Below are 22,264 nucleotides of genomic sequence, written 5' to 3' on the forward strand. Positions count from 1 at the left end.
AAGTGCTGGGATTACAGGCCTGAGCCACCACCCCCGGCCTTTTTTTTTATTATGTTAAAAGACTAGTCAGATGCAGTAGTGAGAAAGCAGTGAGAGTGGAAAAAGAAGTTCCGTCTGTAACTGACTGTGAACAATCAATTGAAATAATTCACTACCTTCAGACCAGCTGAGATTTTCTTGAAAATTTTCCTTTTAGCTCTAAAAGAAAATATTTGTCATCACTTAACTATATCCAGCTTCTCTCCAAACTCACTGCCGCCACGCCACACCAGCCCAAGACTGGACACAGCAACTGCCTCCAAACCAATCTCCCTTCCACACTGGTCATTTTAAACTCTATTCTCTGGAGTGACCACTTCTTACTCACTCAGAGCTTTGTCATTTCCTGTTTAAAATCTTTCAGTTGGCCGGGTGCGGTGGCTCACGCCTGTAATCCCAGCACTTTGGGAGGCTGAGGCGGGCGGATCACGAGGTCAGGAGATCGAGACCATGGTGAAACCCCGTCTCTACTAAAAATACAAAAAAAAAAAAAAAAAATTAGCCGGGTGTGGTGGTGGGCACCTGTAGTCCCAGCTTCTCGTGAGGCTGAGGCAGGAGAATGGCGTGAACCTGGGAGGCGGAGCTTGCAGTGAGCTGAGATCGCGCCACTGCACTCCAGCCTGGGCGACAGAGCAAGACACTGTCTCAAAAAAAAAAAAAAGAAATAAAATAAAATAAAATCTTTCAGTGACACTCGTGTTCTTCCCAGTAAGTGTCACACCATGGCTGACCTGACTGCCTCAGCCACACTGGCCTTCTCTGTTCCTGCCCACTGAATTGCCTTTGTACAGTCTGTTCTCTGGGTCTGGAAGCTCTTCTCCATCCACTCCCACCCACCTTCCTCTATCCAGCTAACCAACTAATCCTTCAGCTATCCCTCAAATAGCACTTCTTTTAGAAAGCCTGGCCTGACCACCCCACCCCAAACTGAGTCAGATCATCTGCATAGTGCTCTCACGGCTACCAGTACTTTGCTTTCAAAGCTCTTATCACAGTTTGAAAATACTGTATTTACTTTATGTACTTATTTATTCAATGTCAATATCCCCACTATACTGTATGCTCCAAGAGGGTAGAGATGTGTCTGGATTTTATCACCAATAAATATTTGAGGAATGAATGAATAAATTGCAAATAAACAATATTTTCATTCACTGTTCAACAAATATTTTCTTTTTTCTTTTTTCTTTTTTTTTTTTGAGACAGAGTCTTGCTCTGTCACCCAGGCTGGAAGGCAGTGGCACGATCTTGGCTCATCACAACCTCTGCCTCTCAGGTTCAAGCGATTCTTGTGCCTCAGCTTCCCAAGTAGCTAGGGTTACAGGCACGGACCACCATGCCCAGCTAATTTTTTAAATATTTTTGGTAGAGATGGGGTTTCACCATGTTGGCCAGGCTAGTCTCGAACTCCTGACCTCAGGTGATCCGCCCACCTTGGCCTCCCAAAATTCTAGGATTACAGGTGCGAGCCACCACACCCAGCCCTCAACAAATATTTTCTAAGTGTCTATAATGTGCCAGACATGGCCAGGCACAGTGGTTATGTCTGTAGTCCCAGCTACTCAGGAAGCTGAGGTGAGAAGATCACTTAAGCCCATAAGTTCGAGGCTGCAGTGAGCTATGATCATGCCACTGCACTCCAGTCTGGGCAACAGAGGGAGATCCTGTCTCTTAAAAAAAAAAAATGGTGCGGCCAGGTGTGGTGGCTTATGCCTGTAATCGCAGCCCTTTGGGAGGCAGAGGCAGGAGGATCACGAGGTCAGGAGTTCGAGACCAGTCTAGCCAACATGGTGAAACCCCATCTCTACTAGAAATACAAAAAATTAGCTGGGTGTGGTGGCAGGGGCCTGTAATCCCAGCTACTCGGGAGGCTGAAGCAGGAGAATCGCTTTAACCTGGGAGGCAGAGGTTGCAGTGAGCCGAGACTGCATCACTGTACTTCAGCCTGGGCAACAGAGCAAGACTCTGTCTCAAAAAAAAAAAAGGGGGGGAGACCAAGCATGTTGGCTCATGCCTGTAATCCCAGCACTTTGGGAGGCTGAGGCGGGGGGATCACGAGGTCAGGAGTTTGAGACCAGCCTGGCCAACATGGTGAAACCCCGTCTCTACCAAAGGTACAAAAAATTAGCCGGGCGTGGTGGCACGCGCCTGTAGTCCCAGCAACTCTGGAGACTGAGGCAAGAGAATCCCTTGAACCCGGGAGGCGGAGGTTGTGAGGTTGCAGTGAGCCAAGATCGCGCCATTGCACTCCAGCCTGGGCAACAGGCTGTCTCAATAATTTAAAAAAAAAAAAAAAGAAAGGCTGGGTGCAGTGGCTCACACCTGTAATTCCAGCACTTTGGGAGGCCGAGGTGGGTGGATCGCCTGAGGTCAGGAGTTCGAGACCAGCCTGGCCAACATGGTGAAACCCCGTCTCTACTTAAAATACAAAAATTAGCTGGGTGTGGTGGCAGGTGCCTGTAATCCCAGCTACTCGGGAGGCTGAAGCAGGAGAATTGCTTGAATCCAGGAGGCGGAGGTTGCAATGAGCCGAGATCGCGTCATTGCACTCCAGCCTGAGGGACAAGAGTGAGACTTCGTCTGAAAAAAAAAAAAAAGACCAGGCACTATAGTTGACCCTGGAGATACAGCAGGAAGCAAACTGGATAAGGATACTGAACTCATGCTACTTATTTTCTAGAAGGAAGAAGCAGACAATAAAGACATAAACAAAACGGTGCATGTTTTGAAAGCAATAAAGCAGTGTAATCTGATGAGGTCGAATCTACTCTAGGATGAGGTTAGAGAGAACTTTTTGAGGAAATGACTGCTAAATAATATGCCAGTGGCCAGGCACAATGGCTCATGCTTGTAATCCCAGCACTTTGGGAGGCTGAGGCAGGTGGGTCACCCGAGGTCAGGAGTTCAAGACCAGCCTGGCCAACATGGTGAAAACCCGTCTCTACTAAAAATATTTTTAAAAATTAGCCGAGCATGATGGTGTGTGCCTGTAATCCCAGCTACTCGGGAGGCTGAGACAGGAGAATCGCTTGAAACTGGGAGGCAGAGGTTGCAGTGTGCCAAGATCATGCCACTGCACTCCAGCCTGGGCAACAAGAGTAAAACTCCATCTCAAACAAACAAAAAATAATAATAGTAAGCCACGAGGGAACCATATTATAGGCAGAAGGAACAGCAAGGGCAAAGGGCAAAGGCCTGCTGTTGATTGCCCCTTTGAGACTCACAGTAATTAATTTAAAGCAGAATTTCTCAACCTTGACACTGTTGACATTTTCTCCCCTGCTATCTCTTGGGCTAGATAATTTTTTGTTGTCCCATGCATTATAGGATATTTAGGAGCATCTCTGACTTCTATCAATTAGATGTACCCTCCCCTGTACCTAAGTGTGACAAAAAATGTCTCCAGACGTTGCCAAATGTCCCAGGGAGGAGAGGAGTAAAATGGGTCCCAGTAAAGCGTGACTGGTGAGCATCATCATGGATTTTTTTCCTCTAATAGCCTTGAAGTAACTAGTTGGATAAAAGGATCCAAGTAGGGGCCGGGCGTGGTGGTTCACACCTATAATCCCAGCACTTTGGGAGGCTGAGGTGGGCGGATCACCTGAGGTCAGGAATTCGAGACCAGCCTGACCAACATGGAGAAACCCGGTCTGTACTAAAAATACAAAACTAATCAGGTGTGGTGGCATGTGCCTGTAATCCCAGCTACTCGGGAGGCTGAAGCAGGAGAATCACTTGAACCTAGGAGGTGGAGGTTGCAGTGAGCCGAGGTCGCACCATTGTACTGTAGCCTGGGCAACAAGACTGAAACTCCTTCAAAAAAAGAGAAAAAATGGGATCCAAGTACATGAATAGTTGAAATTAACTAGGGTTGGGTGTTACTAAAAAGAGGAAGAAGGAATTTTATAATATTTTCACGAGAGTGATTGTGTTAGATTATAGATATAAATTGGGTAAGAGGGAGAGAAAACACAAAAGAGTTGGTGGATAGTGAAAAACTGGTAGGATCAAAAGTTTAGAGGTCCCCATGAGGTGAAAGAAGTGAGGATACATGAGTCTGGACATGGTGGCTCATGTCTGTAATCCCAACACTTTGGGAGGCTGAGGTAAGTGGATCACTTGAGCTCAGGAGTTGGAGACCAGCCTGGGCAATATGGCAAAACCTCACCTCTACAAAAAAAATACAACAGCAAAAAGTTAGGCAGGCATGGTGGCTGGCACCTGTAGTCCTAGCTACTCGCTCGAGAGGCTGCGGTGGGAGGATTGCTTAAGCCTGGAAGGTCGAGGCTACAGTGAGCCATGATCATTCCACTGCACTCCAGCCTGGGCAACAGAGGGAGACCCTGTCTCAAGAAAAAAAGAGGCCGAGTGCGGTGGGTCAAGCCTGTAATCCCAGCACTTTGGGAGGCCGAGGCGGACGGATCACGAGGTCAGGAGATCGAGACCATCCTGGCTAACACGGTGAAACCCTGTCTCTACTAAAAACACAAAAATTAGCCAGGCATGGTGACACACTCCTGTAGTCCCAGCTACTCAGGAGGCTGAGGCAGGAGAATGGCGTGAACCCGGGAGGCGGAGCTTGCAGTGAGCCGAGATTGCGCCACTGGGCAACAGAGTGAAACTCTGTCTCAATAAATAAATAAATAAATAAAATTTTTAAAAAGGAAAAAAAAAAGTGAGGATATGTGAGTAAATGAACTAGAAGGCTAGAGGTGATTATGAAACATTCCTGGTTTGAATTCAAAAAATTGGAAGAAGGCCGGGCACAGTGGCTCACGCCTATAATCTTAGCACATTGGGAGGTTGAAGCAAGCAGATCACTTGAGGCCAAGCAGATTGCTTGAGGCTTGAGACCAGCCTGACCCGTTAACAAGGCAAAACCCCGTCTCTCCTAAAAATACAAAAATTGGCCAGGCCTCGGAGGCCTGCAGAGAGCCGAGATCACGCCACTGCACTCCAGCTTGGGTGACAGAGCAAGACTCAGTCTCAAAAAAAAAAAAAAAAAAAAATAGCCAGGCATAATCCCAGCTTCTTGGGAGGTTGAGCCATGAGAACTGCTTGAACCCAGGAAGCAGAAATTGCAATGAGCCGAGGTCACACCACTGCACTCCTGCCTGGGCAATACAGCAAGACTCTGTCTCAAAAAAAAAAAATTGTTGCTAGGCATGGCAGCTCATGCCTGTAATCCCAGCCTTTTGGGAGGCCAAGGCCAACAGATAGCTTGAGGTCAGGAATTCGAGACCAGCCTGGGCAACATGGTGAAACCCCATCTCTGCCAAAAATACAAAAATTAGCCAGGCATGGTGGTGGATGCCTGTAATCTCCGCTACTCAGGAGGCTGAGAATCGCTTGAACCCGGGAGGCAGAGGTTGCAATGAGCCGAGACGGCGCCACTGCACTCCAGCCTGGGCAACAGAGCGAGACTCCATTTCAAAAAAAAAAAAAAAGTTGGAAGAGTTTGTTTTTGGAGATGACAAAACCTAGGGTAGAGGTCTGAGGATGGGCTGAAGAGGAAAATCACTGGAGAAGAGACTGAGGAGTGGAGAGGCCACAATGGATTGCCCTGATGGATTATGAAGTTATCAACGATGATGTTAGGAAAAAATAGGTGAAAAGAGGAAGAAGATGAGCCAGGTGCTAACATTATCAGTGAATGTGGGTGAACAACCGGGTTTGAAGACCCTTGCAACAAGTAGAGGCAGCAGATCATATAGTTTGAGACGTTAATTTCAAAAAGCAGAGGATTTTGAAAGATGAAGAAAGAATAAGGGTCTAAGGCCAGGCATGGTGGCTCATGCCTATAATCCCAGCACTTTGGGAGGCCGAGGGGGGCAGATCACGAGTTCAGGAGTTCGAGAGCAGCCTGACCTACATGGTGAAACCCCATCTCTACTAAAAATACAAAAATTAGCCGGGCGTGGTCATGCACGCCTGTAATCCCAGCTACTCAGGAGGCTGAGGCAGGAAAATCGTTTGAACCCGGGAGGCGGAGGTTGCAGCGAGCCAAGATCGCGCCACTGCACTCCAGCCAGGGTAACAGAGTGAGACTCCATCTCAAGAAAAAAAAAAAAAAAGGCCGGGCACGGTGGCTCACGCCTGTAATCCCTCCCAGCACTTTGAGAGGCTGAGGCGGGTGGATCATGAGGTCAGGAGATCGAGACCGTCCTGGCTAACATGGTGAAACCCCGTTTCTACTAAAATACAAAAAAAATTAGCCAGGCGTCGTGGCAGGCGCCTGTAGTCCCAGCTACTCAGGAGGCTGAGGCAGGAGAATGGCATGAGCCCGGGAGGAGGAGGTTGCAGTGAGCAGAGATTGCGCCACTGCACTCCAGCCTGGGCGACAGAGCAGGCTGTCTCAAACAAAAAAAAAAAAAAAGAGTCTAGACGCAGCACTAGGGAGCAATCCACCCAACTCTACTCTGCAGTATGCAAAGACCGATGAACAAGCCTCTGTAAAGAGGGCTGCCAGGGAAGTGTGCCCTCCAGACGCCAGGTTTCAGTAAGGTCTAGGAAAGGGAGGTTCAGAGAAGAGGATGGGCTTATAAGAATGATGACAGACATTGAGTCCAGAGGTAACCGTGGAAAAATTTGAAAGGTCAAGTCTGGTTGGAAGATTGGGTGATATTAGGGGATGTACACTACAGTATGGGGTGGTGGATGATGACATTATGAGTTAATCAACCTCGTATGAAAACCCAACCAACTTGTTTGTTTCTACAGGAAATTGTTCTGAGTTCTAAAAACTGATACATAAATTAACTTTGGAAACTTGCAGCATTATTTATAAAGTAATTGGTTACTGATTATTTCAAGGCAAATGATATTCCAGGTTCTAATTCTGCTTCCTTCAGGACTTCATTCTTGGGCTTCGACTATCTCATCTTTAAAATAGGAGTGATAATGTTTTTGCCTACTTGGGAAACAAGAGGCTGGGCTAAGTGGTCTACTATGGTTCATTCTGGAGTAGATATTTGAGATACAGATTTGGAAAAGAAGTGAAAAAGTGACCAACTCATTTATGAGGCTAGGGTAATCTTGCCTCTGAAATCAGTTAGTAATAATATAAGAAAAGAATTCTAGGCCCATTTAATCTATGAATATAGACACAGAAGTCTTTAATAAAATATTACTTAACTAGGCTGGAAGCGGTGGCTTACGCCTGTAATCCCAGCACTTTGGGAGGCTGAGATGGGCAGAACACATGAGGCCAGGAGTTCAAAACCAGCCTGACCAACATGGTGAAACCCCGTCTCTACTAAAAATACAAAAAAATTCTTTGGGAGGCTGAGGTGGGTGGATCACGAGGTCAGGAGATCGAGACCATCCTGGCTAACATGGTGAAACCCCGTCTCTACTAAAAATACAAAAAATTAGCCGGGCGCGGTGGCAGGCACCTGTAGTCCCAGCTACTTGGGAGGCTGAGGCAGGAGAATGGCACGAACCCGGGAGGCGGAGCTTGCAGTGAGCCGAGATCATGCCACGGCACTCCAGCCTGGGTGACAGAGCGAGAATCTGTCTCAAAAAAAAAAAAAAATACAAAAAAATTAGCCGGGTGTGGTGACGCACGCCTGTAGTCCCAGCTACTCAGGAGGCTGAGGCGGGAGAATCGCTTGAACCTAGGAGGCAGAGGTTGCAATGAGGCTAGATCATGCCACTGCACTCCAGCCTGGGTAACACAGCAAGATTCTGTCTCAAAAAAAAGAAAAAATTACAAAATCCATCAATGTGGTTTATCACAATAATAGACTAAAGGAAAAAAATCAGCAGGATGCGGTGGCTCTTGCCTGTAATCCCAGCATTTTGGGAGGCCGAGGTGGGTGAATCACGAGGTGAGGAGATCGAGACTATCCTGGTTAACACAGCAAAATCCTGTCTCTACTAAAAATACAAAAAATTAGCCAGGCGTGTTGGCACACACTAGTAGTTCCAGCTACTCGGGAGGCTGAGGCAGGAGAATCACTTGAACCCAGGAGGCGGAGGTTGCAGTGAGCCGAGATCGCACCACTGCACTCCAGCCTGGGTGACAGAGCGAGACTTCATCTCAAAAAAAAAAAAAAAAAAAAATAGAGGCTGGGCGCAGTGGCTCACGCCTGTAATCCCAGCACTTTGGGAGGCTGAGGCGGGTGGATCACCTGAGGTTGCGAGTTCGAGACTAGCCTGACCAACATGGAGAAACTCCGTCTCTACTTAAAATACAAAATTAGCCGGGCGTGGTGGTGGGCACCTATAATCCCGGCTACTCGGGAGGCTGAGGCAGGAGAATCGCTTGAACCTGGGAGGCAGAGGTTGTGGTGAGCCGAGATTGCACCATTGTACTCCAGCCTGGGCAACAAGAGCAAAACTCCGTCTCAAAAAAAAAAAAAAGGAAAAAAAATCATATGGCTATCTCAAATGAGAATTTTAAAGGGCATTTGATGAGGTTCAATACCTGCTTATCATAAAAACCTTTAGCAAACAAAGGTTAGATAGGAAATTCTTATACTTAATGAATAATGTTGGACTCATCTCTTTTATTCTTGGGGAAAAAAACAAAGATGTCCACTGTTACCACACTTATTTTACAAAATCCTAGAGGTCTTGAGCAATACTACAAGGAAATAAAAGAAACAAGTAGTGCAAAGATACGAAAGGAAAAAATAAAACTGATTATTTGCCGGGCGCGGTAGCTCACGGCTGTAATCCCAGCACTTTGGGAGGCCGAGGTGGGTGGATCAACAGGTGAAGAGTTCGAGACCAGCCTGGCCAACATGGTGAAACCCATCTCTACCAAAAATACAAAAATTAGCTGCATGTGCTAGCTCACACCTGTAATTCCAGCTACTTGGGAGGCTGAGGCAGAAGAATCGCTTGAATCTGGGAGGTGGAGGTCACAGTGAGCCAAGATCGTGCCACTGCACTCCAGCCTGGGCAACAGAGCCAGACTCCGTCTCAAAACAAGAAAACAAAACAAAACAAAAACCCTGATTATTTGCAGGTAATATAATCATCTACTTAGAAAAACCAATAAAATCGCCGGTCGCAGTGGCTCACACCTGTAATCCCAGCACTTTGGGAGGCCAAGGCAGGTGGATCACCTGAGGTCTGGAGTTCGGGACCAGGCTAACCAACGTGGAGAAACCCCGCCTCTACTAAAAATACAAAATTAGCCGGGAATGGTGGTGCATGCCTGTAATCCCAGCTACTCGGGAGGTTGAGACAGGAGAATTGCTTGAGGCCCGGAGGCGGAGGTTGCAGTGAGCCGAGATAGCGCCGTTGCACTCCAGCCTGGGTAACAATCGAAACTCCGTCTTAAAATAAACAAATAAATAAAATAAAATCAACAGAAAGACTAGTAGAACAAGCAAGGGTATTCATAAAGGTTGTTGTGTACAAAATTAACCTATAAAACAAACAAACAAACAAAAACTACTAGTATTTTACTGCACCAGAAATTACCAATCAGAAAATGTTAAAAAAAAAAAGAAAAGAAAAGAAAAGAAAAAAGAAAAAGAAAAAAAAAGGCCAGGCACAGTGGCTCACGCCTGTAATCTCAGCATTCTGGGAGGCCAAGGTAGGTGGGTACTTGAGCCCAAGGGTTTCAGGCCAGCCTGGGCAATATAGGGAAGCCCTGTCTCTACAAAAAGATACAAAAATTTGCTGGGCATGGTGGTGTGCGCCTGTAGTCCCAGCTACTTGAGAGGCTGAAGTGGGAGGATTTCTTGAGCCCAGGAGGCTGCAGTGAGCCATAATTGCACCACTCTACTCCAGCCAGGACAACAGAGTGGCACTCTGTCTCAAAAAAAAAAAAAAAGAAGAAGAAGAAGAAGAAAGAAAAAGAATAACAAAAATAACATTCAATGGCCAAGCACGGTGGCTCACGCTTGTAATCCCAGCACTTTGGGAGGCCGAGGCAGGTGGATCATGGGGTCAGGAGTCAGAGACCAGCCTGTCCAACATGGTGAAAGCCCATTTCTGCTAAAAATACAAAAAATTAGCAGGGCGTGGTGGCACACGCCTGTAGTCCCAGATACTCAGGACAGTGAGGCAGAAGAATCGCTTGAACCTGGGAGGCGGAGGTTGCAGTGAGCTGAGATCTCACCATTGCACTCCAGCCTGGGCAACACGGTGAGACTATGTCTCAAAAATAAATAAATAAATAAATAACATGCAATTTACATCAGTGACAAAGTTATAAGGTATCTAGGAATTAACCAAGAATTCTTAAAACTTTAGTGGAAAAATGTTTTTTAATTCTCATAAAATACATAGATGACAGCCTGAATATATAAATCAATAGTCCATGCTCTCAAATGGGATGACTTAATATTATAATGATATCAATTGTCCCTAGAATAATTTATAATTCAATGTTACCAATAAAAATCCAACTGGCAGCTAGGTGTGGTGGCTCATGCCGGTAATTCCAGCACTTTGGGAGGCCGAAGCAGGTGGATCACCTGAGGTCAGGAGTTCGAGACCAGCCTGACCAACATGGTGAAACCCCCATCTCTACTAAAAATACAAAAATTAGCCCATAGTGGTGTCTCACGCCTGTAATCCCAGCTACTTGGGAGGCCAAGGCAGGAGAATATTTTGAACCCAGGAGGCAGAGGTTGCAGTGAGCTGAGATTGCGCCATTGCACTCCAGCCTGGTTGACAAGATCGAAATTCCGTCTCAAAAAAAAAAAAAATCCAACTGTTGTTTTAGGCTTTTTTTTTTTAACGTTAAATTTATGTAAGCAAGTTTTTTTAAAAAACAGATCTTGTTAAGTGTATCTCCAAATTTGTATAGAGCAATAAAAAACAACAAATATTAAGTCTACAGTGAAAAGAAAGAGTAATGGCCGGGCACGGTGGCTCACACTTGTAATCCAGCACTTTGGAAGGCTGAGGCGGGCGGATCACTTGAGGACAGGAGTTCAAGACCAGCCTGACCAACGTGGTGAAACCCTGTCTCTACTAAAAATACAAAACAATTAGCCAGGCATGGTGGTGGGCGCCTGTAATCCCACCTACTCAGGAGGCTGAGGCAGGAGAATCGCTCGAACCCAGGAGACAGAGGTTGCAGCGAGTTGAGATCGGGCCATTGCAATCCAACCCGGGCAACAAGGGCAAAACTCTTTCTCAAAAAAAAAAAAAAAAAAAGAAAGAAAAAAAAAAGAATGAGTAACAAGAAGTCTCTTGCCCTTCTCAGAAATTTAAACTTGCTACAAAGTATCATAAAAATCAACTTGTGCAAGAACAGACAAATACATCAATGGAACAGAATACAAATTCAGAGACAGACCCTTACATCATACATTAGAATTTGATATATGATAAAAGTGGTTCACTAAAGAGAAAAGTAAATTGGATCCCTAACACCTAAAACAAGGATGAATTCTAGAGGAATCAAGAAGACTTAAATGTGAAAAGTAAAACTATAAAGTTACTGGAAGAAAATGTAGAAGAATGCATTTATGGTGCAGAGTTGGGAAAGAATATATACAAATTATCAAAAATTGCAAACCATAAGGGGAAAAAATGGTCATTTTCATTACACTTAAATTAATAATTTCTATTCTGGCCAGGAGCGGTGGCTCACACATATAATCCTAGCACTTTGGGAGGCCGAGGTGGGTGGGTCACCTGAGGTCAGGAGCTCCAGGCCAGCCTCACCAACATGGTGAAACACCGTCTCTACTAAAAATACAAAAATTAGCTGCATGTGGTAGCTCACACCTGTAATCCCAGCTACTCAGGAGGCTAAGGCAAGAAAATCACTTGAACCCGGTGGGCAGAGGTTGCAGTGAGCCGAGATTGCACCACTGTACTCCAGCCTGGGTAACAGAGCCAGACTCCATATGAAAAAAGAAAAAAAATCTATTTCATGAAGTTCATGAAGGAAAAATTAATATAGAGATGATAGAATGGGAGAAGGTATCTGCAATGCCTAAATCTGACAAAGTAACTGATCTCTCTTTTTTTTTTTTTTTTTTTTGAGATGAAGTTTCACTCTTGTTGCCCAGGCTGGAGTGCAATAGCGCGATCTCAACTCACCACAACTTCTGCCTCCCTGGTTCAAGTGATTCTCTTGCCTCAGCCTCCTGAGTAGCTGGGATTACAGGCATGCACCGCCACACCCAGCTAATTTTGTATTTTTAGTAGAGACAGGGTTTCTCCATGTTGGTCAGGCTGGTCTCGAACTCCCGACCTCAGGTGTTTGGCCGGCCTTGGCCTCCCAAAGTGGTGGGATTACAGGCGTGAGCCACTGTGCCCAGCCTGATCTCATTGTGTTTGTTTGTTTGTCTGTTTGTTTGAGATGGACCCTCACTCTGTCACCTAGGCTGGAGTGCAGTGGCATGATATCGGCTCACCTCAACCTCCGCCACCCGGGTTTATGCCATTCTCCTGCCTCAGCCTCCCGAGTAGCTGGGACTACAGGCGCCCGCCACCACGTCTGGCTAATTTTTTGTATTTTTAGTAGAGACAGGGTTTCACCGTGTTAGCCAGGATGGTCTCGATCTCCTGACCTTGTGATCCGTCCGCGTCAGTCTCCCAAAGTGCTGGGATTACAGGCGTGAGCCACCACGCCTGGCCACGAGTGGATTTTAAAAACATCGTGATTACTGAAAATAAGATCAGAGTGAAATATATAACAAGATGCTATTTATGGAAATTTAAAATGTTTGGGCCGGGCGTGGTGACTCACACCTGTAATCCCAGCACTTTGGGAGGCTGAGGTGGGCAGATCACTTGAGGTCGGGTGTTGAAGACCAGCCTGGCCAACATGGTGAAACCGTCTCTACTTAAAATACAAAAATTAGCCAGGCACAGTGGCGCAAGCCTGTAATCCCAGCCACTCCGGAGGCTGAGACAGGAGAATCACTTGAACCTGGGAAGCGGAGGCTGCAATGAGTGGAGATCGCCCCACTGCACTCCAGCCTGGGTGACAGAGCGAGACACTGTCTCATAAAAAGAAAAAAAAAAAAAACTTTGCACACAAAATGATTTATATTTTGTAAGAGCACAAAGAAAAAAATGAACATTTAATGCACTGGAATAATTGAATGCATTGGAATAAGCATTTGGGTGTGGTGAATCGAACGTGTAGTCTTAGCTACTTGGGAGGCTGAGGTGAGAGGACCGCTTGAGCCCAGGAAGTCTAGGCTGCAGTGATCGGTGACTGTGCCTCTCACTCGAGCCTGAGCAACAGAGACCTCAACTCAAAACCAGTAAAATCGCCGGGCATGGTGGCTCACGCCAGTAATCCCAGCACTTTGGGAGGCCGAGGCAGGTGGATCACCTGAGGTCGGGAATTGGAGACAAACCTGACCAACATGGTGAAATCCCCCATCTCTACTAAAAATACAAAATTAGCTGGGCCCGGTGGCGCATGCCTATAATCTCAGCTACTCGGGAGGCTGAGGCGGGAGAATGGCTTGAACCCGGAAGATGGAGGTTGCAGTGAGCCAAGGTTGTGCCATTGCACTCCAGCCTGGGTAACAAGAGCGAAACTCTGTCTCAAAACAAACAAAAACAAAAATAAAAATGAGACATAGATCAGTGAAGACAGTGTGCTAATAACTGTCATTCGTTCAATCTTCTGTGCTGGAACTCAGGGATCAAGGTCCCCAGAAGCCGGAAACAAAGTGAACCTGTGGAGCAGGAACTGGGTGAGGAAGCTTTCTTTGAAGGATGAAGAGGAGTCCTTTGGAATTCCGGATTTTTTTTTTTCTTCTTGAGACGGAGTCACTCTGTCGCCAGGCTGGAGTGCAAGGGCACGATCTTGGCTCACTACAACCTCCACCTCCTGGGTTCAAGCCATTTTCCTGCCTCAGCCTCCCGAGTAGCTGGGATTACAGGTGTGCATAACCACGCCCGGCTAATTTTTGTATCTTTAGCAGACATGGGGTTTCTCTATGTTGGCCAGGCTGGTTTCAAACTCCTGACCTCAGTCGATCCACCTGCCTTGGCCTCCTAAAGTGCTGGGATTACAGGCATGAGCCACCAGGCCGGGCCGGCATTCCAGATTTTTCAGGGGATTAGTGCAGCAAAGGAATCAAGAAGGGATGTAAAGGCACAGTGTGTTCTGGGTACAATAAGGACTTAGGCATTGCCCAGAACAGGAGGCGAAGGAGATAGAAGGAGAGGCAGGAGAGATAGGTAAGGCCAGAGATCGGATAAGAGAGGCAGGAGGTTTTGTTCACTCTGAAAAGGGATTTGAACTTGGCAATTGGGGCAACAGAGACAGTGACTTCTTGCTTGAGAGATGAGATTGGACCTTCGAAAATTGTTCTCTGCCCTCGTCATAAAGGAAATAAGAGGAGCACGAAGACCAGTGAGGGTGATGGTGATCTGGACTGAAGTGGCAGCCGCCACGGAGAATATCGGATGAATGTGAGAGAGTTTTGGAGGTCAAAGCACCAATGTTGGAAACTAACTGGATAAACGAGGAGAGCGGCGCAGGACAGGAGGAATCGAGCCTGACTTCTACCATAGGGGTGACTGGGCGGGTAATTCATTGAAATAAGGAAGTTAGGAGGAGGAGCAGGTTTGGACATGCTGATCACTAGAGCTGCCACATCCGGGCGGTAACGAACACCTGGATCTGCAGCTCCAGAGAAGGGCCTGGGTCAGATGTCACTGAAGCCCTATGGTGGCGGAAAGGCGAGAAATAGTGGGTTGAGATTCCAAGTGCAATCCACTGCGGCTCCTCGCTCGCCCTCCAGGTGGCAGCACAACCCTGCGCTTCCGAAGCCCGTTTTCTGAGCCAGACACTCTCCACGCTCTGGGTATTTCGGCTTCTCTCTCCCCACACGCCGACCCTAGGTCGCGCACTTTCTGCCTGGCAGAATTTGGCCGAGGATCCAAACCCGGAGCAGCCTCCAGAGAGCGTGTCGTTCACGCGGCCAGCATATGCTCAGAGACCTCAGAGGCTCAGAGACCTCAGGGCTGGTGGTGTGGTCGGTTGTGACCACTTGTCCCTCGGACCGGCTCCAGGAACCAACCTGGGGAATGTGTGTAGGGGAAGGGCGGGATAGACAGTGCCCGGAGCAGGGAGGCGCTGAAAGACAGGACCAAGCAGCCCGGCCACCAGACCCGTTGTGGGAACGGAATTTCCTGGCCCCCAGGGCCACACTCGCGTGGGAAGCATGTCGCGGACTCTTTAAGGCGTCATCTCCCTGTCTCTCCGCCCCCGCCTGGGACAGGCCGGGACGCCCGGGACCTGACATTTGGAGGCTCCCAACGTGGGAGCTAAAAATAGCAGCCCCGGGTTACTTTGGGGCATTGCTCCTCTCCCAACCCGCGCGCCGGCTCGCGAGCCGTCTCAGGCCGCTGGAGTTTCCCCGGGGCAAGTACACCTGGCCCGTCCTCTCCTCTCAGACCCCACTGTCCAGACCCGCAGAGTTTAAGATGCTTCTGCAGCCCGGGATCCTAGCTGGTGGGCGGAGTCCTAACACGTGGGTGGGCGGGGCCTTTTGTTCCAGGGACTCTTTTCTCAAAACTTCCCAGTCGGAGGCTGGCGGGAACCCGAGAGGCGTGTCTCGCCAGCCACGCGGAGGGGCGTGGCCTCATTGGCCCGCCCCACCAACTCCAGCCAAACTCTAAACCCCAGGCGGAGGGGGCGTGGCCTTCTGGGGTGTGCGGGCTCCTGGCCAATGGGTGCTGTGAAGGGCGTGGCCCGCGGGGGCAGGAGCGAGGTGGCGGGGGCTTCTCGCGTCTTTTCCCCCAGCCCCGCTCCACCAGATCCGCGGGAGCCCCACTGCTCTCCGGGTCCTTGGCTTGTGGCTGTGGGTCCCATCGGGCCCGCCCTCGCACGTCACTCCGGGACCCCCGCGGCCTCCGCAGGTTCTGCGCTCCAGGCCGGAGTCAGAGACTCCAGGATCGGTTCTTTCATCTTCGCCGCCCCTGCGCGTCCAGCTCTTCTAAGACGAGATGCCGTCGGGCTTCCAACAGATAGGCTCCGAAGTAGGATTCATCATGAGGGGGCGGGGCGGGGGGGCACGGGTCCCGCTTTTCTTGGGCTGGGGTCGCGGTTGGGGTCAGCTGGGGGTGGTTCCTGCGCAGGCGCAGGGGGTGAAGGTAGGGGGCTGGCTATTTATACCCGGCCTGGACAACCCGTGACTGTGAGATTCCAATCCTACCAAAAGGCAGAGTGGGTCTGGAGGGCCTTTCGGGGCACAGGCAGCAAGTGGATTCTGCGAGCCAGGGTTCACCCCCTTGCCTAGTAGGCGGCGCGGCGCTCCGGAATCGGGGACACCCTGCCCTCGATCCGACTCGGGAAAGCAGATCCAGGCGGGTCTTGCCCTCCGGGAGCTGTCCGTCCGTCTTCGCTCACGGGCAGTGTTTCGAGGACCGGAGGCTCTCCGTGGGCCCCCACCCCCACTCCTGGCCGCCCTCCAGGACGCTGAACTTTCCCTTGGCCCCATGGTTGGTGGAGGGGCAGAGGGGACTGTCAGCCCCCCCTCCTCCAGCTCAGGTTTCCGCTTGGAGACAGTCTGTGCCGCCAGCGAGCGGCCACCACTGCCACCGCCCCTCACACTACCTTCCTGCCCTCCTCCCCTGGGCATGGCTCTCCCAGGCAGAACCCCTGGACGGCCCTCCCTGCACGGAGGTTAGAGGGGGAGGGCAGGCCACGACGTAGATAGAGAAGGCCACCCCTAGATGACCGGGATGTCCTTTCTGGAACAGCACTTCTTGGTCCTGTTGGGGGCCTCCTGGAGCTGGCTGACAGAACCCCCAGAGGGGAGGGAAGAGGACAGTGGCTGATGATAATAATGCACGTGTTAATTTATGAAACCAGCACTGTCAAGGATATTGTTAACATGTGATGTTGATTTTCACAACACTCTCACAGATAGGTAGGCAAGGCAGGCAACATCACCCCCATCTCACAGAGGACACTCAGGTTCGGGGCAGGGAAGTGACTTGGCCAAGGTCACACAAATCTGAGCTCTTAAGGCCAAGCCTGTCTCAAGGTCACAGAAGAATTTTGAGACAAGTTCTCAAACATTTCTCTGCCTTATGGACCCAAACATCCAGTTTCTCCTTTATGCCCAGGTTGCAGTTCAGCTCCTGTTTACATTGAGATCTTTGTGCAATTCCTAATATGGCCCAGTTTCCCTCACCCAACATGTTGGGTGGAGCCCAGTATCTTCAGGCTCCAGCTGGGCCCGGGCCCCTAGCGGAAGGAAAAAAATCATGGTTCCATGTGACATGCTGTGTCTTTGTGTCTGCCTGTTCAGGATGGGGAACCCCCTCAGCAGCGAGTGACTGGGACCCTGGTCCTTGCTGTGTTCTCTGCGGTGCTTGGCTCCCTGCAGTTTGGGTACAACATTGGGGTCATCAATGCCCCTCAGAAGGTGAGGGCCTGCAGCTGGCAGGGTGGGGGTACCCAAACGAGGAGGACAGGTGTCTCGGGGGTGGTGGAAAGGGGACGGTCTGCAGGAAATCTGTCCTCTGCTGTCCCCCAGGTGATTGAACAGAGCTACAATGAGACGTGGCTGGGGAGGCAGGGGCCTGAGGGACCCAGCTCCATCCCTCCAGGCACCCTCACCACCCTCTGGGCCCTCTCCGTGGCCATCTTTTCCGTGGGCGGCATGATTTCCTCCTTCCTCATTGGTATCATCTCTCAGTGGCTTGGAAGGTTCGCAGCTGGAGGGCAGGGGTGGGGGAAACAGGAAGGGAGCCACTGCTGGGTGCCCTCACCCTCACAGCCTCACTCTGTCTGCCTGCCAGGAAAAGGGCCATGCTGGTCAACAATGTCCTGGCGGTGCTGGGGGGCAGCCTCATGGGCCTGGCCAATGCTGCTGCCTCCTATGAAATGCTCATCCTTGGACGATTCCTCATTGGCGCCTACTCAGGTACTCACGGGCACCACAGCCCTGCCTAGCGCCCTGTTCTCTTTCACCATGCCTGGGCTTTCAGATGGGAATGGACACCTGCCCTCAGCCCTCTCTTCTTCCCTCGCCCAGGGCTGACATCAGGGCTGGTGCCCATGTACGTGGGGGAGATTGCTCCCACTCACCTGCGGGGCGCCCTGGGGACGCTCAACCAACTGGCCATTGTTATCGGCATTCTGATCGCCCAGGTGACCGGAGCAAGCCTCATGGGTGCCTGGGCAGTGGTTAGAGTGGGGCTCTGGAGAATATGGTGGGCTTCCAAGGTAAGGCAGAAGGGCTGAGTGACCTGCCTTCTTTCCCAACCTTCTCCCACAGGTGCTGGGCTTGGAGTCCCTCCTGGGCACTGCCAGCCTGTGGCCACTGCTCCTGGGCCTCACAGTGCTACCTGCCCTCCTGCAGCTGGTCCTGCTGCCCTTCTGTCCCGAGAGCCCCCGCTACCTCTACATCATCCAGAATCTCGAGGGGCCTGCCAGAAAGAGTAAGCTCTCCCGCTGCAGCCTGGCCCAGGCCCATGCCTCCGCCTCATCTTGCTAGCACCTGGCTTCCTCTCAGGTCCCCTCAGGCCTGACCTTCCCTTCTCCAGGTCTGAAGCGCCTGACAGGCTGGGCCGATGTTTCTGGAGTGCTGGCTGAGCTGAAGGATGAGAAGCGGAAGCTGGAGCGTGAGCGGCCACTGTCCCTGCTCCAGCTCCTGGGCAGCCGTACCCACCGGCAGCCCCTGATCATTGCGGTCGTGCTGCAGCTGAGCCAGCAGCTCTCTGGCATCAATGCTGTATGTGTGGAGCAGCCTCCAGGCAGGGCACAGCCCCGGGAGGGTAGACGAGAGTGGGGAGCAAACCCCCTCCACCAACACCCAGGGTAGGGCCAGCCTGTTGTGGCTGGAGTAGAGGAAGGGGCATTCCTGCCATCACTTCTTCTTCTCCCCCACCTCTAGGTTTTCTATTATTCGACCAGCATCTTCGAGACAGCAGGGGTAGGCCAGCCTGCCTATGCCACCATAGGAGCTGGTGTGGTCAACACAGTCTTCACCTTGGTCTCGGTAACTGCTCACCTCTGGAATGGCCCGAGCCACTGGCTTCACCTCCCTGGGTGTCCCGGAGGTCCTGCTCTTGGTTGCCCTCACCCACGCGGCCCCTCCTACTTCCCGTGCCCAAAAGGCTGGGGTCAAGCTCCGACTCTCCCCGCAGGTGTTGTTGGTGGAGCGGGCGGGGCGCCGGACGCTCCATCTCCTGGGCCTGGCGGGCATGTGTGGCTGTGCCATCCTGATGACTGTGGCTCTGCTCCTGCTGGTAAGGCCTGGAGGCTAGGAGGGGCTAGCAGCCCACCCCATGGGAATGGTCCTGTGAGTCTCTGTGACCAGCCAGGGTCCCTTCTTAACACACATGCTTTCAATCCTGGCGCCAGCTCCGGACCAGGACTGGGGCTGACTGGCTCCAGAATCTGCTGGGATTGTGGTCTGCTCCTGAGGGATTTGGGCTGCACTGGGAGGCAGCTGTGGCACAACTCTGGCAGCCAGGAGGGAGAGCCCCTGTCAAGCCTCAGGAACAATCATTCCTAAGGACCCAGCTTTAGAGTCCAGGGAGAGCTGACCGTCATAAGAACTGAGAGGCCATAACATTTCCTCTGCCTTGAACCCACTTGGGATAGCCAGCAGAATGCCAGTCAAGGGCCTGCTCTAACCCGGGACAGCAGGCCCCCTACAAGCTGCTGCGGAGGGGGTTAGGTTTCACTTCTCTGAGTTGAGGGCAAGGGAAGATCAGAAAGGCCTCAACTGGATTCTCCACCCTCCCTGTCTGGCCCCTAGGAGCGAGTTCCAGCCATGAGCTACGTCTCCATTGTGGCCATCTTTGGCTTCGTGGCATTTTTTGAGATTGGCCCTGGCCCCATTCCTTGGTTCATCGTGGCCGAGCTCTTCAGCCAGGGACCCCGCCCGGCAGCCATGGCTGTGGCTGGTTTCTCCAACTGGACGAGCAACTTCATCATTGGCATGGGTTTCCAGTATGTTGCGGTAGGTCCCCCCGCCCCAGCCTCCCACACCGTAGGCCAGAGGTGGGCATCACACAGCTAGCCCACCTGCTTCCCCGTCAGGGACTCCTCCAGCCACAGACCATGGGTCTTTGGGTCAGTTTGGTGGACCACCTGCTCCACAGAATCAAAGCAAGGAAGGGAGCTGACCTAGATTGGATAGTAACTGAGGTGTCTGAAACGCACCAGTGGCATAACTTACCTTACTCCAAGAATAAAATGATACACTTTGCATTAATACTACAAACAGCTGGGACTCTCCTCTGAGTGCAGTAACTGAGGATGGTGAAGAGGGCGAAAACTAAGAGTGTTTGGGGTTCAGAGAATCCTCTTTTCAGTGTAAATTCTCATTCCTGCTCATTTCCCTTGTCCCTGGAGGAGGCAGCTGCTGTCTGCCGTCCCCCCAGCTCCCTATGAAGGCCTTTAGCTCCTGGTTGCCTGAAACTACCCCTTCCCTCCCCACCTCACTCCGTCAACACCTCTTTCTCCACCTGTCCCAGGAGGCTATGGGGCCCTACGTCTTCCTTCTATTTGCGGTCCTCCTGCTGGGCTTCTTCATCTTCACCTTCTTAAGAGTACCTGAAACTCGAGGCCGGACGTTTGACCAGATCTCAGCTGCCTTCCACCGGACACCCTCTCTTTTAGAGCAGGAGGTGAAACCCAGCACAGAACTTGAGTATTTAGGGCCAGATGAGAACGACTGAGGGGCCAGGCAGGGGTGGGAGAGCCAGCTCTCTCTACCCGGCCCAGAGACCCCTTCCTTTCCTCTGCAGCACTTTAACCCTCTCTTCCCTATTATTTCCGGGTGGAAAAGAATCCCTGCAGCCTGGTAGAATTGGGAAGCTGGGGGAAGGGTGGTCTGAGCACCCCCTCATTCCCCTCGTGTGACTCTCTTGGATTATTTATGTGTTGTGGTTTGGCCGTGGCCATCAGGGTGGGCCACTCTCCCCTCCCTCTTCCTTCCCCCATCCCCTTTCCTCCCCACCTTCCCCAGACTCAGCTCCAGAATACCTTCTTCGCTGCTAGAGAAGGGGGATTGGAGGGAAGACAGGTCTAGACTTTCTCAGTGGGACAAACCAGAGCAGAGAGCAGGACAGGAGACAAGAAATCCAGTTTCCCACCACCTTGGACTCCTCCCACAATCTGGGACTTTCACTGAATTCTTGCCACGCAGACTCTGGGCAAAGGGGTTTTTTTTTTTTTTTTTTTTTTTTTTTTTGAGACAGTCTCGCTCTGTCGCCCAGGCTCGAGTGCAGTGGCGTGATCTTGCTTCACTGCAAGCTGTCTCCCAGGTTCACGCCATTCTCCTGCCTCAGCCTCCGGAGTAGCTGGGACTACAGGCGCATGCCACCACACCTGGCTAATTTATTTTGTATTTTTAGTATATACGCGGTTTCACCATGTTAGCCAGAATGGTCTCGATCTCCTGACCTCGTGATCTGCCTGCCTCAGCCTCCCAAAGTGCTGGGATTACAGGCGTGAGCCACCGCGCCTGGCGAAGGGAGTTCTCTCTTGACCCCTGCAGGGAAAAGGACTCACCTCCCTCACTGCAGGCTCAGCCTTCCAGGGCAAGAGGGAACAGGAAAGTATGTGCCCATGTGTGGCAAGATGGAAGGACGGCAGGCTCCCGCCTCTAGGCTTGGGGCTCTACCCCGATGGTTTCCCAAGGCTGCCAAGAAGGAGCCCTAACTTTCTTCCTCTCCCTTCCTGGAAGGGTGCTGCATCCACAGGCTTTTGACCAACTAAGGCAAAGAGGGGATTTGAAAGGCTGCCTGGAAACACTGGGCTGGGAGGAGCCTTTGGATATTTTTATATACGTTTGAAAAGGGGATTGAGAGAAGAAACCAAAGGTCGGTTGTACTAAATGTATATATATAGATACTTCTATAAAGTCACTGCTGAAGACAAGCATCCTATTGTGGAGGTACTTGAGGATGGGCTGAGACAGGGACCATAACTCTTCACCCCTCTTCCTCCCTCTGTCCTGCCTCAGCTCAAGGCCTCAGAATCTTCTGGATGCCATTGCTCATGCCCCTACTCACATTTCTACTCGTTGCTTTATTAATAGTAAATGCTCAATAAATTGTAGCTGCCAGTGCCGGGCATTGCTCTTGGCATTTGCAGAATACTCACTCTGTGAGGGAGGTGTCAGCCCATGTCACAGATGGGCAGTGAAACCCATGATAGGGGCACTCTTCACCAGGGACACAGCTGGAGACATGGCAGCAAGGATGCCAGGCCCTGCCCACGGCCCCACATCCCCTCCTCCCCACCTTCAACAGTGAGTTACTAGCGATTCTCCAAAACAGAAGAGATGGAGACCAAGACCACAGGAAA

At 50.7% G+C, this 22,264-nt stretch overlaps 1 protein-coding gene across 1 annotated transcript, besides 2 other annotated features; it reads left to right on the forward strand.

Moving 5' to 3' along the window:
- Positions 15,684–15,833: a silencer, noted in NCBI's record as "silent region_8100". NCBI's record gives its function as "represses an Ori minimal core promoter by ATAC-STARR-seq in GM12878 lymphoblastoid cells {active_cell/tissue: GM12878}" and the evidence as "EXISTENCE:reporter gene assay evidence [ECO:0000049][PMID:35858748]".
- On the forward strand, positions 15,720–22,259 carry SLC2A4 (solute carrier family 2 member 4). The gene is made up of 11 exons (NM_001042.3): positions 15,720–15,969; positions 17,247–17,363; positions 17,475–17,647; positions 17,740–17,864; positions 17,976–18,091; positions 18,219–18,381; positions 18,487–18,674; positions 18,837–18,941; positions 19,090–19,191; positions 19,707–19,910; positions 20,428–22,259. The coding sequence occupies exons 1-11, from the start codon at positions 15,937–15,939 to the stop codon at positions 20,629–20,631; spliced, it is 1,530 nt and encodes a 509-aa protein (NP_001033.1). The 5' UTR covers positions 15,720–15,936; the 3' UTR covers positions 20,632–22,259.
- Positions 15,966–16,953: an enhancer, noted in NCBI's record as "H3K4me1 hESC enhancer chr17:7185283-7186270 (GRCh37/hg19 assembly coordinates)". NCBI's record gives its function as "activates a minimal SCP1, AML or CMV promoter by ChIP-STARR-seq in naive H9 embryonic stem cells {active_cell/tissue: H9 hESC(naive)}" and the evidence as "EXISTENCE:reporter gene assay evidence [ECO:0000049][PMID:30033119]".

The sequence above is a fragment of the Homo sapiens genome, chromosome 17, assembly GCF_000001405.40.
Source record: "Homo sapiens chromosome 17, GRCh38.p14 Primary Assembly".
NCBI lineage: Eukaryota > Metazoa > Chordata > Mammalia > Primates > Hominidae > Homo > Homo sapiens.

Coding starts and splice junctions, on each gene's coding strand:
- SLC2A4 (NM_001042.3), top strand. CDS start 15,937: ATGCCGTCGGGCTTCCAACAGATAGGCTCCGAA. Junction 17,364..17,474: donor TCATCAATGCCCCTCAGAAG/GTGAGGGCCTGC, acceptor GCTGTCCCCCAG/GTGATTGAACAGAGCTACAA. Junction 17,648..17,739: donor ATCTCTCAGTGGCTTGGAAG/GTTCGCAGCTGG, acceptor TCTGCCTGCCAG/GAAAAGGGCCATGCTGGTCA.